This window comes from Homo sapiens, chromosome 9 (assembly GCF_000001405.40).
Source record: "Homo sapiens chromosome 9, GRCh38.p14 Primary Assembly".
NCBI lineage: Eukaryota > Metazoa > Chordata > Mammalia > Primates > Hominidae > Homo > Homo sapiens.
Window position 1 is genome coordinate 36,336,198 of NC_000009.12, and position 13,737 is coordinate 36,349,934.

The window sequence follows — 13,737 nt, forward strand, 5'->3', positions numbered from 1 at the left end:
ATAAAATATATAAATATGTACCATATGTTACAACGCTAGTTACTTTTGCATTTCTAAGTTGTTTACACAAATGCAGAAATACAGAATCTGGCAGCCAGTAATTCAACCCAGCTCTATCTTCCTGCTGCTATCTATCTCTCCATCCCCATGCATATACAACCCTTCCCCATCCCTAACACAGTGACATGAAACACAACAGATGTTTTAAGTGTACATCATACATTTATTACCAACAACCCTCTCAACTCCAAAATTGGGCACAGGGATTAAAAATAAAAATTCATTGCACTACTTAGTAAAGCATTACTAGTAACTTTCATAAAAAATGTACAAACTTTGTTAAAAATTTATCAAGCCTTCAAATGATTTGGTTACAGATATTTATAATACATACATTTAAAACTATATGTTAACTGATACAATGGAATATGATTTGAGAAAATGACTCAGCAAATGATTCCAAAAAACACCCCTGTGAGCTTTCACAATCTGAAACGGCAAAATGAGGTAACCAAATGTACCAACAGGGGGACAAACAAACAGCTTTCTAATGAAAAGGCCCAAAGATAATCTGTGAAAAATATTCTCACAAGTGAGTCGGTAGATCTCATTCAAAATTATTCTAAGAGGCCCAAATTTAAGAATCTTAACAAATCACATTTCAGATAGTATATAAAATCTAAATATGCTTTCACATTTTCCAGATTTTGCTCAAAAAATTAAGGACAGAAAATCCTAATATGAGATCTTGATACCTGGAGGCCTTATTTTTTTGAGGGGCTGGGGGTTAAAAAAACACCAAAGATGACAATTCATGCCAAAAAACAAACAAGAACCCACAAAAAACCCACAGCTGAGTTAAGATGGTAAAGCCAATATTATTTTAGGAGGAAAGAGGACGAAGGCCAATGAACCAACATCTGCCTGCTATCTGGTGCATCACCCAAGGTGACCAATGGCTGGGCACAAATAAACTTCTCTTTTGCTAGCCACAGAGTTGCTCACTGTGGCAAGCCTGAGCTGGTCAGAACACCTGTGTGTGTGTTCCTGATACACACTAACCACAATAAGCAAGTCTGCACACATCTCTATGAGCCCCATGCAAAGACAAGACATTCCCAAAGATCAGTCACTAGAGTGCAACAACGAAATTCAAGATTTGACCAAAACAGACCCTGCTGCCTCCTAAATTGCCAATTGCCTCTCAAAAACTTACAGAAAAAGGGACATTATAAGAATTCATAGAGGGAGAGAAGAAAAAGCTGCTACTCCTAGTCATTAGTACAATGTGCTGTGTTAATTAGATACCTCTATATAAATTAGAAAAAGTGCTTTACTTGCATGCTTCAATAAAATGAATACTGAGTGTCGTAGTGTTAGATCTGTACAGATATAAATTTTTTGCAGCTATATAAAAGTGTATAAGATGGGCTTTTGCCATTTTAAACATGATTTTTTTTCATTAAAAAAGATTAAACTATATGTGATTTGTATGTAGCTGATTATTATGCCAAGAATTTTGGTCTTTAACACACTTTTTATTCATCAGGAACAGGTGAGGGATATCCTAATGATTTAAAAGTAACATGTGCATTAACCATGTGCATTTTTACCACTATTTAGAAGTATTTCTGATGCACTGACAACCCTAGGGGCAAACACAGTATGCAAAACCCTACTTGTAGGACTAGATAGAGGCAACAATGTCTCGCAAAGGGCAAAATTGTGCTTCTGTGAATTGACTTTACTTAACTCTAGGCTGTGATGAGCTTATAGACACTTCAAGGGAGGGCAAGCAGCATGGCAGTAACAAGTAGTTAACACTGAATGGAAAACTGACACAGAGCCAACTGAAAGTTGAGTGGGGCTGGCAGCAAGTTATCACAGTCCTGACTGGAATAATGCAGCTTGTGCTATTGCAAACAAAGCAATTACATCAACTGCAGGAAGAGGCAGACAATGTTGAATACACTAAAAGAATGAGAAAGTAATTTAAACATTGCTGGAAAAATGACTTTAAAGTGAATTATGCTCAAAGAACTTACTAAAAAAAACCCCATACAGCTATGTATTACATCAACTAAATGAAGGTCAACTCCTGTTTAACAGCATTATTTTTTTATACAAAAACCAAATCTTCATTTATACTGCAAGTATTCTGGACACCTGTTGTATTAAACTTTTCTCATTCAAACAAAAATTAAAAGGAAAGGCAGTAAAATATCAAAACAAATCAGGTCTAAGGAACATGAGCTGTAACAGCACTTGATCCATCCTGAAACCAGGGTTTCGATGAGAAGCACGTGTGATGAAGGAAGAACTAGACAACTTTCAGAATTGGAGTCTGGCAAGTGAATTAATATGAACAGAAATAGAGTTTTCTTAAAACAATTGAGTTGCCCACAGGAGCTTGAACACAGAACACATATGAGAAGTCAAGCTGAATTAACAGGTTTTGTTCTGGTGGAAGTCAACAAGGTGAGACTTCATGGGACTAGTGGTCTTCTTAGAAATATATTAATCAAATATCTTCAGAATAGACTAGACTACAAATCTAAACATTAAAAAAAATCACAGGTACTTTCTGTAAGAAACTTACTGGAAATGTAAAGGAAAAAAAAGTATCAACATTCAAATCACTGATTGAAATGCTAATATTGCTAACTGATGATATATGATATTGCACCTTCTTTTTGGAAACAGCAAGTTGGAGATTTAAAAATTTCCACAACAGAATAAAAAAAAACCAGGTTCATGGAGCGAGAATTTGTTACACTTTTTTTTCTTAAGTGACCCACTTAGGACCACCAATAAAGAGAAGGTGACAGCTGCCTGAAGCAAAGGAAGAAGGCTTTTCTCATTCCATTCACTGGGAGGGAAGGGGATGGAGTATTCAATGCTTGTAATTGATGCACCCTCAGCAATCAGTGTGCAACAGCAAACACAAGGGAAAAAAACCAGTGTACAGTACTAGTGCTGTTTAAATAACACACCAGATTATACATTGCAGCATAATTAAAACTACACACACATTCTTGGTACATGCTGGTATATAGGATCTCATACACACGTTAGCTACCATGCCCTCACACAAGTAGTTGCACACACTCACACAGATACACTTATCACCAACAGTCATACGCTGCGCATTCATTTCCACTCACAGTTTCTGAAGGCTCTATATAAGGTAGATTGCTATATCATCTGTAGCTACCACTTTTTATAAAAGCACATGCTAAAAGATCACGTCCACTGTAATCTTGCAGCAACACTCGGAATGATCACACAAAAACCAGGGAATGTTAGTGCACACACAAAATTAAGCTAAAGAAAAAGTCTTTGGAGTTCCAATCACACGGTTAGTATAACAATCCCATAACTGTGAAGACTAATTGTAAGCTTTTATAGTTGATTAAGTCACACAGTGCAAAGAAAGGTCCATTGACCCTTTTGGTAAAGGGAGGGCTGGAAGCCACACAGATTAAGTTCAATGGATAGTCCGTATATACATGTGATGAGGAACACCCAAACTAAATTTGTGCTTCTTAGGTTGGTCATTCTGAATCCCGATGCACTTCTGAAGCATCAGCTCGGCAAATTGGGCAAGTACGATTTGCCTACAAAACAAAAAGGAAAACTTGTTTAAATTGTGACACATACAATGAAACACATTCAAAGCAATGGAACTACTTTTACTTCCCACAGTTTTTACATTCTTTCTTCCTCTGAAGAGGTACAAAGCAATTTTTGCCTTTTTTTAACCCATAAACCTCCGAATTAGCCCAGGAATTTTTTTTTTGAGATGGAGTTTCGCTCTTGTTGCCCAGGCTGGAGTGCAATGGCACGATCTCAACTCACTGCAACCACTGCCTCCTGGGTTCAAGCGATTCTCCCGTCTCAGCCTCCCGAGCAGCTGAGATTACAGGTGCCCACCACCATGCCTGGCTAATTTTTGTATTTTAGTAGAGACGGGGTTTCACCATGTTGGTCAGGCTGGTCTCAAACTCCTGACCTCGGGTGATCCACCCACCATGGCCTCCCAAGGTGCTGGGATTACAGGCGTGAGCCACTGCGCCTGGCCGCCATGAATGATTTTTAGTAGGTCTGTTAAAATATATAAACAAGATTACCATTGACCAGTTTGGACCAAGTTAACAACTGACATTAAAGTAAAAGCTTGGTTAGTCTTTTTTTCCCCCGTTTTTTGAGACAGGGTTAAACCCTGTTGCCCACAGGAGCACAGTGGCATGACTACAGCTCACTACAGACTTGAACTCCTGGGCCTAAGTGATCCTCCTGCTTCAGCTTCCTGAAAACCTAGGATTAACAGGTGTGTGCCACCACACCCAACCAATTTAAAAGACGGGTTTCACTAAGTTGCCCAGGCTGGTCTCAAACTCCAGGCCTCAAATGATCCTCCTGCCTTTGCCTCCCAAAATGTTGGGATTACATGCCTGAGTCACCATTCCTGGCCCCTTGGCTATTCTTAATGGAATGAAGTCACAGAAAACATTTAGTGGTACCGAGGAAAGCTTGATTGTAAAATAGGTGACTGACTCTATACTGATAGCTCTACTTACTCACCTGTTCCCTGGCTCCTAAATTTGCTTTCTCCATTTCAACAAATGGGACCATAATTTGTGGAGTTGCTAATGCCAGACACATAAGCATCACCTGCTCTCCTACTTCCTACAACCCCATTATTCAGCACATAATCTTATTTCTGCATTACAGTAATTCTCAAATCAGTCCCTCTTTTCATCTAGTTGCTACTATCCATTCTCTGGCCCACCATGTCTTTATTCTATCTCCCTGTCTCTCAGAAATTACCTCTTTTATTAGAACAGTGGCCAGAAATCCTTCTATAAAACAGTCTGTTATATACTTCCCAAATGCTTTCAGGATCACACTAAACTCCTTTACGCTTCAGAGTGGCTTCACAACAAGCCGCTCATTGATTTTATCTCTGAACACCTTTTCTTTTCCCACTCTTCCTCACATTCCAACTATCAGCCACACGGAACTTGTGGTTTTCTGATTCTCTGTCCGCACGTGTCAGGGATTTACACATATAATGCTTTCCTTTTAAAATAATTTAAGACTCTTTGTCTTCAGGATTGAGTTTGGGCTAAACTAGATCTCTGGAACTGTGCTCCCTCAGAACTGACTTTATCTTCCTCACCAAATAGTAAGGTTATCTAGTTTTATCCAAACCGGAACACTTAATTTAAAAAATAACATAAATTTGACTATATTTTTTTTATATAGTCATGGAGCCACTGCACCCAGCCTATTAAAATTCTTTTACTGTATCACATTTTACTGTATCACAATTTGAGACTATGAAACTATGAAGAGTAAAAAAGCAGCTTTTGTAAACTTTTTTTTTTAAACATTAAATAGCCAGGTGCAGTATATAATCCCAACACTTTGGGAGGCTGAGGTGGGAGGATTGCTTGGGCCCAAGAGTTCCAGACCAGTCTGGGCAACATAGTGACACCCAGTCTCGCTTGAGCCTGGGATGTCAAGGCTACATTGAGCCATGACTGTACCGCTGCACTCCAGACTGGGTGACACACTGAGACCCTGTTTCAAAATATATATATATATATATATATATATATATATATATATATATATATATATATATATATATATATATATATATAAAGAAGCCCCTGCAATAATTTCACTCTGGCATAGCCACTCTTAGGATTTGTGTCCTTTGTGCTTTTGTTCATATATACAAAGGAGAAAATGGTCAGAATTAAATAAAAACACTAGATGTATTTTTCTCCATGCTAACCTCTGAAAATAGAGCTATAATTAGGTAGCCTTCTAAACTCTCAAACTGTGGCCTAGCAAGTTCGGGCCTTGTCCCTATATACCATGAAAAAGGACATACTGATTGTCAAGAGGTCATCCATTTTGGATTTTGTATAGTCACTCCTATGTTGTTGACTGCAGTTAATTTTTACTGGCCTTTTCTCATTTGCAGAGATCATACTGAAAGCTGTGTTTCCATTTTGTCTTCCTTCCTGTCCACTGAGCTATGAACTTACTCTAATCCATGGTCAATAAAATAGAAAATTCAATGTCATTTCCTTTAAAGATGTCATCACTTTACCTTAAGCCATTTGTCAACACACTTGGCATGGAACTCGTGGTTACAGGGTAAGACTCTAAGTAGCTGCCTTGACTCAAAATCACACATGCATACTACACACCTAAAAAAAGCAAAAAGATCATTTAACCACAAAACCAGATGGTTTTCTATTGTTATGACTACTGAAACCTACAAGATAATTTATTCTGTTATCAAAACGTCACTTAAATTTTTAAACAAAATTATCAACCAATACCCTGAAAAAATTGTGATGTTAAGGCAGTAAGAGTTTTGCTTTGCTGACAGATTAGCAAGAAAATTTCTAGTTAACATCAAGTCAATCTTAATACCAAAGATTCTATACTATTTAAAAAAAAATGGTATTAGAACTGGATGTCCACATACAAAAGAATAAAGGTGGACCCCTACCTCATACCATATATAAAAACTGACTCAAATGGATCAAAAGCTTAAGTGTTAAGAGCTGATCTATTAACCTCTTAGAAGAAAACACAGTAAATTTTCATGACCTTGGATTAGACAATGGTTTCTTGGAGATGACATTAAAAGCACAAGAATTAACAAGAAAAAAAGAAATGCAGTTGTTCTTCAGTATTTGAGGGGGATTGATTTCTAGGACCTGCAATGGATACTAAAATCTGCAGATGTTCAAATCCTTTATATACAATGGTATAGTATTTGTGACCTATGCACACCCTCCCATATGCTTTAAAATCATCACTATAATACTTAATACAATGTAAGTGCTATGTAAATAGTTGTTATACTGTATTGTTCTTTATTTGTACTATGTATTGCTCTATTGTTATTTTCTATTTTTATTTTTTCCTGAATATTTTCAATCTTTGGTTGGTTGAATACAGAGGGCTTAGTGTAGGCTGAAATAAACCAAAATCAAAATTTAAACATTTTGTGCTTCAAAGGACATCACTGAAAAACTCAACAATCCACAGAATGGCAAAACATTTTTTTTACACTTTTTATTATTCTATTCCTCAGAGATCCCTGTTCTGAGAGAAGACATTTTTGAAGATAATTTATCTGGTGAGATCTATAATATGTATAAAACCTCTACAACTCAATAATACAAAGACAAACCAATTTATGGAAAATGAAGCAAGGATCAGAATAGACATTTCTGGAAAGAAGGTACACAAATGGCTAGTAGCACATGAAAACACACTCAAGATCATTAGCCATCAGGGAAATGCAAATCAAATCTGCAGGAAATACCACTTCACAATCACTAGACTGGCTATAATAAAAAAAAATAGACAATATAGAGTGATTCAAAGCCATTATTTAGCTTTGGCATTATTCAATCCCAAAGTGGAAACCCAAATGTCCATCCATCGACGAAAAAAAAATATGATCTATACAATGGAATATTATTTGGCCATAAAAAGAAATGACTTACCAGTAAAAGCTACAATATAGAAAAAGTTATGCTAAGTGAAAGATGCTAGACACAAAAAGACCCTATATTGTATGACCCCATTTATGTGTAATCTATATAGACACAGTGTAGACTGGGGATGGGGAGGAGGCACCAAGGTGAGGTAGAAATATGACGAGTGTTGCCAGTGGGTGAGGGGTTTTGTTTTAGGGTGATGCAATGGGTCTAAATTTGATTGTGGTGATAGTTACACAGCTCTATGAATATACAAAAAACCACTGAATTGTACTTTTTAAATTATTATTATTTTTGAGATGGAGTCTTGCTCTGTCACCCAGGCTGGAGTGCAGTGGTGTGATCTCGGCTCACTGCAACCTCCACCTCCTGGGCTCAAGCAATTCTCCCTGCCTCAGCCTTTCGAGTAGCTGGGATTACAGGTGCCTGCCACCATGTCCAGCTAATTTTTGTATTTTTAGTAGAGACAGGGTTTTGCCATGTTGGCCAGGCTGGTCTCAAGCTCCTGACCATAGGTGATCCACTCGCCTCAGCCTCCCAGAGTGCTGGGATTACATGTGTGAGCCACTGCGCCCGGCCTGAATTGTACATTTTAAATGAGTGGAATTTTATGGTATGTAAATTATATATCAATAAAGCTATTTTTAAAAGATCCCATATTAAGCAGAAATTTTAGGTAAGAACCTCAAAACTTTATGTGCATGAATTTTCAATCTTGTGTGAAAACAAACATTCTAGAATGTGAATTAGAAACAAAATTGCTAAGCAACATAAAAATCCAGAACAGCCCTAACAGAACTTTCTAAGATGACAGAAATGTTCTACATCCATACCACCCAACACAGCAGCTATTAGCTAGTACGACTAAGACATTTAATTTTTAATTTAATTAGCTCTACATTGACTTACTGGACAAGCACTGGTTTAGACTATGAAATAAAGATAACTTATCTTTATCAAAGTTATCTCTGACTCCTAAGCATTTTCTTTCAATTTTTTATTTCCTCTCCCAACTTTTACCTTAATGACTCTTAAGCTTTTATTTCATAAAGGTAGAAAAGGAAATTTAGCAGTGATGTCAGAAAAATTTACTTACAAAGTCTGTTCTGACTGGTGGTTGTTAGGATTGAACCGATAAGAAGGAAGTTGTTCAATATCTGCTTTAGTCAGTCCACGAGGCTTTGCCTCTCCCAGTCGCTCTGCCAGGTTTAACAGGGCCTGCAGCGGTAAAAGACGACATATTTTCATCTATCTTTACATTTTGCATTCCAATACTTTTTTTTTTTAAGAGATGGAGTCCTGCTATGTTGCCCAGGCTAGAGTATAGCGGCTGTTCACAGGCATGATCATTGTGCACTGTGGCCTCGAACTCCTGACCTCATGCAATACTCTTGCCTCAGCCTTCTGAGTATCTGGAGCTACAATTGCGTACCACTGCAGCCCTATTAAAATAATTTTTTAAATGTTTCTTATGAAAAAATCTAAACACATACAAAAGGAGAAAAGTAACATTAATGAACCTTGATCTATCCATTACGCAGGTCAATAGTCCATGGCTAATCTTTTACCTATTACAATCTATCCTAAACCTCACCTTATTTTAAAACAAAACTGAAAGATGGTATCATTTCATTTGTATCAAGTGCATCTGTAAAACAAAGTTAGTAACTTTGACCCTGTGAGCTGGATAATTCTTTGTTGTCGGGGCTGGCCTGGGGACTACAGGATGTTTTGCAGCATTCCTGGCCTCCCTCTACTCTCAGTGCCAGTTAACACCCCCTAGCTGTAACAACCAAAAATGTTTCCACACATTCCCAAATATCCCCTAGGGGACAAACTGTCCCCAGGTTGAGAATCGCTGCTCTAAAAAGATAGACTTTTTAGAATATAACCACAATGACATCATCACACCTAAAATATTAACACTAATTCTTTAACATCAAATGACCAATTAACGTTCAAATGTCTTTGTTTTCAATTCAAAACTTTAAAAAGTAGTTTGTTCAAATAAGGATCCAAACAAATCCGTAACTTACCATGGCCTAATATGTCTCAAGACTCTTTTTCACTCTTAAATTTGAAGAAACCAGGTTAATGAGCTGTAGAAATTCCCAGTTTGAAATCTGCTAAATGAACCTCCCATCCCTGACCCACTGGGTTTAACAAATCCCTTGCCCCCTTGTCCTATAAATAGGGAGATGTGAATACTTATACCATAAGACCCATCGTGTCCACTGGTTATGTTAGCAGCCAATGATGGAATACTGTCAAGATCCATTAATTCATTAAAAATGGCAAAACAGTAATATTCTTATTTTATCATTCTTCATTTATTAGAATACCTCATATTAAACAATACTCAGAATAATTTAGGTAGAATAGGATAAATGAGACCACCTAATTTCTTTTATGAAGTATCCACCATCAACTCATGAACTTTAACATATTTGATGTGTTTCAATACTGTAATTATTATGCCCTTTTTTTTGAGTCAGAGTCTTGCTTCATCCTCCAGGCTGAAGTGCAATGGCATGATCTTGGTTAACTGCAACCTCTGCCTCCCAGGTTCAGGCGATTCTCTTGCCTCCTCCTCCTGAGTAGCTGCCCAGCTAATTTTTTGTATTTTTTATTTTTTAGTAGAGACAGGGTTTTGCCACGTTGACCAGGCTGGGCTTAAACTCCTGACATCAAGTGATCCACCTGCCTTGGCCTCCCAAAGTGCTGGGACTACAGGAGTGAGCCACTATGCCCAGCCAATTATTATGCTTATTGATTTTACACCAGTACCTCCTTTCCTTAATGACTCTAATAACTCATTTGGTTTATCTCGCAATTAGTCTGCCTTTTGTGGACTGCTTTTCTCCATTTTTTCAGGTTGCCCAGGGTTAACAGAATGGGTAACAAATAATGACAGATGAGAGAAACAGAAATAAATTCCCCAAATGTCAACAGTTAATGTAATAACTGTGTGTTTTATTATGATACTACAACTTTGCTTCTGTGTCAACATTATTTAGATAATTGCGTCATCTAAATAATTTGTTCCCCTTTCACTAGCTCCCCAGCCCTTCTAAATGCTGGAATAGAAAGTAAATTGCCAGGCCACACATGGTGGCTCAAGCCTGTAATCCCAGCACTTTGGGAGGCTAAGGCAGGCAGATCACTTGAGGTCAGGCATTTGAGACCCACCTGGTCAACACGGTGAAACCCCGTCTCTACTAAAATTACAAAAAAATTAGACAGGCATGGTGGCGTGCACCTGTAATCTCAGCTACTTGGAAGACTAAGGGAGGAGAATCACTAGAACCCGGGAGGCAGAGGTTGCAGTGAGCCGAGACTGCACCATTGCACTCCAAGCCTGGGCGACAAAGGGAGACTCCATCTCGGGGGGGGGGGGGGGGGGGGGGGGGGGGGAAGTAAATTGCCAAATTGATGGTGATTACAATATATAAAATTTAGATAAAATTTATGATATCATTGATAATGATCTTTTATATCTCTTAGTACACAAAGGTCAACAAATACAATTTGTGACAGAATATGTTAAGTTCTTACAGTATAAAGACTACACAGGCATATTTCACTTTACTGCGCTTTGCTTTACTGCATGCCACAGATACGACCTTTTTAAAACAAAAACAAAAAATTGAAGGTGTGTGGCCACCCCATATTGAGCAAATCTATTAATTCAATTTTTCCAACAGTCATGTAGTCATTTCATATCCTGGTGTCACATTTTGGTAATTCTCACAGCATTTCAAACTTTTTCATATCTGCTATAATGATCTCTGATCTTTGACGTTACTATTGCACTTGTTTTGTGGTACCACAAACTGTACTTGTATAAGACAGAAAACTTAATTGATAAATGTTGGGTATTCTGACTACTCCACTGAACGACTGGCTATTCGCCCATCTCTCTCCGTCTCCTGCGGTATTCCTAGTCTCTGAGACACAACAATATTGAAGTTATGCCAATTAATAACCCCACAATGGCCTCTAATTGTTCAAGTGAAAGGAAGAGTCACATGTGTCTCACTTTAAAAACTAGAAATGATTAGGCCGGGCACAGTGGCTCATGCCTGTAATCCCAGCACTTTGGGAGGCTGAGCGGGTGGATCATGAGATCAGGAGATCGAGACCATCCTGGCTAACACGGTGAAACCCCGTCTCTACTAAAAATACAAAAAATGAGCCGGTCATGGTGGCGGGCGCCTGTAGTCCTACCTACTCGGGAGGCTGAGGCGGGAGAATGACGTGAACCCAGGAGGCGGAGCTTGCAGTGAGCCGAGATTGCGCCACGGCACTCCAGCCTGGGCAACAGAGTGAGATTCCGTCTCAAAAAAACAAAACAAAAACTAGAAATGATTAAGCTTAGTAAGAAAGGCATGTCAAAGCGGAGACAGGCCAAAATGTAGGCCTCTTGCACCAAACCAGTAACCATGTTCTAAAGGCAAAGGCAAAGTTCGAATAGAAAAAGTGCCATTCTCATTGGGCACAGTGGCTCATGACTGTAATCCCAACACTTGGACTAGCCTTGGATGGCAAAACCTTATCTCTGAAAGAAAAAAAAAAAAATCCACAAAAATTAGCCAAGTGTGGTGGCATGTATCTACTGTCCCAGCTACTTAGGAGGCTGAGGTGGGAGAATCGCTTGAGCCTGGGAGGTTGAGGCTGTACTGAGCGGAGTTCGTGGCAATACACTCCAGCCTGGGTGACAGAGTAAGACCCTGTCTCAAACAAAACAAACAAACAAACAAAAAGAAAACAGAAAAGTCACTCCAGTGAACGCACGAATAAGAAAGCAAAGCAGCCATATTGCTGATATGGAGAAAGTCTGAGTGATACAGATAGAAAATCCAACCAGCCACAACATTCTCTTTAGCCAAAACCTAATCCAGAACAAGGTCCTTTAATTCTATCAATGTTGAGAGAGGTGAGGAAGCTGCAGAAGAAAAGTTGGAAGCTAGCAAAGGCTGGTTCATCAAGTATAAGGAAAGAAGCCATCTTTATAACAACGAAGTGCAAGGTGATGCTGGAAATGCTGATACAGAAGCTGTAGCAAGTTACCCAGAAGCTCTATCTAAGATCATTGATGAAAGTGAATACACTAAACAATGGATTTTCAATGTAGACGGAACAGCCCTATATTGGAAGAGGATGCCATCTAAGATTTTCATAGCTAGAAAGAAAAGGCGGCAGTGCCTGGCTTCAAAGAACAGGCTGACTCTTTTTGGGGGGATAACACAGCTGGTGACTGTAGGCTGAAGCCAATAATCATCTGCCATTCTGTGGGCCCTTAAGAAATTATGCTAAATCTACACTGCCCAATAATAAAGCCTGGATGACAAAACGTCTGTTTACAGTATGGTTTATGGAACATTTTAAGACAACTTGAGACTTGTTCAAGAGAAAAAGATTCCTTTCAAAATATTACTGCTCAAGTGCTCTGATGAAGATGTACAAAGAGATGAATCTGGTTTTCCTGCCTGCTAACACAACATTCACTCTGCAGCCCATGGAATAAAGGATTCTCTTTTCTCTAGATTCTTGCCAATACTTACTGACTTTTTGAAAACAGCCATCCTAACAGGTATGAAGTGATATTTTATTGTGGTTTTGATTTACATTTCCCTGATTGCAATGTTGAGCACCTTTTCATATACCTGGTTGGACATTTTGTGTCTTCTTTGAGAAATGTCTATTCAGGTCCTCCACCCATTTTTTTTAAATTGGGTTATTCATTTTTTTTGCTACTGAGTTGTGTAAGTTCCTTGAATATTTTAAATATTAACCCCTTATCAGATGTTTTTCATATTTTCTCCCAACCTGTAGTCTGCCTTTCATTCTGCTGTTTCTTTCTTTTGCGGTACAGAAGCCTTTTAGTTCAATGTAGTCCTAGTTATTTATTTTAGCTTTTGTTGCCTATGCTTGTGGTGTGATGGCCAAAAAACCAATGCCATGGCCAATATCGAGGAGCTTTTCCCCTGTTTTCTTTCAGCACTTTTATCATTTCAGGTAGTAAGTTTAGGTCTTTAATCTATTTTGAGTTAACTTTCACGTATGGTGTAAAGGTCCAGTTTCATTCTTTTGCAGGTGGGTATCCAGTTTTCCCAACATTTCTTTTTTCTTTTTCAGACAGTCTTGCTCTGTCACTCAGCCCGGAGTACAATGGTGTGATCTTGGCTCACTGCAGCCT

General features: G+C 38.3%; 1 protein-coding gene across 26 annotated transcripts in view; it reads right to left on the reverse strand.

Moving 5' to 3' along the window:
* Nucleotides 1–202: 202 nt before the first annotated feature.
* The window catches only part of RNF38 (ring finger protein 38), a 151,270-nt gene continuing 137,735 nt past the window's right edge, over nt 203–13,737 (reverse strand). For all 26 annotated transcript variants that reach the window (XM_047422796.1, XM_047422795.1, XM_047422794.1 and 23 more), the window contains 3 exons: nt 8,635–8,756; nt 6,128–6,227; nt 203–3,617 (listed from right to left, as the gene is read on the reverse strand). In XM_047422796.1, the coding sequence (XP_047278752.1) occupies nt 3,555–3,617; nt 6,128–6,227; nt 8,635–8,756 (285 nt within the window). In that variant the 3' untranslated portion in view covers nt 203–3,554. The remainder of the gene's footprint in view (nt 3,618–6,127; nt 6,228–8,634; nt 8,757–13,737) is intronic.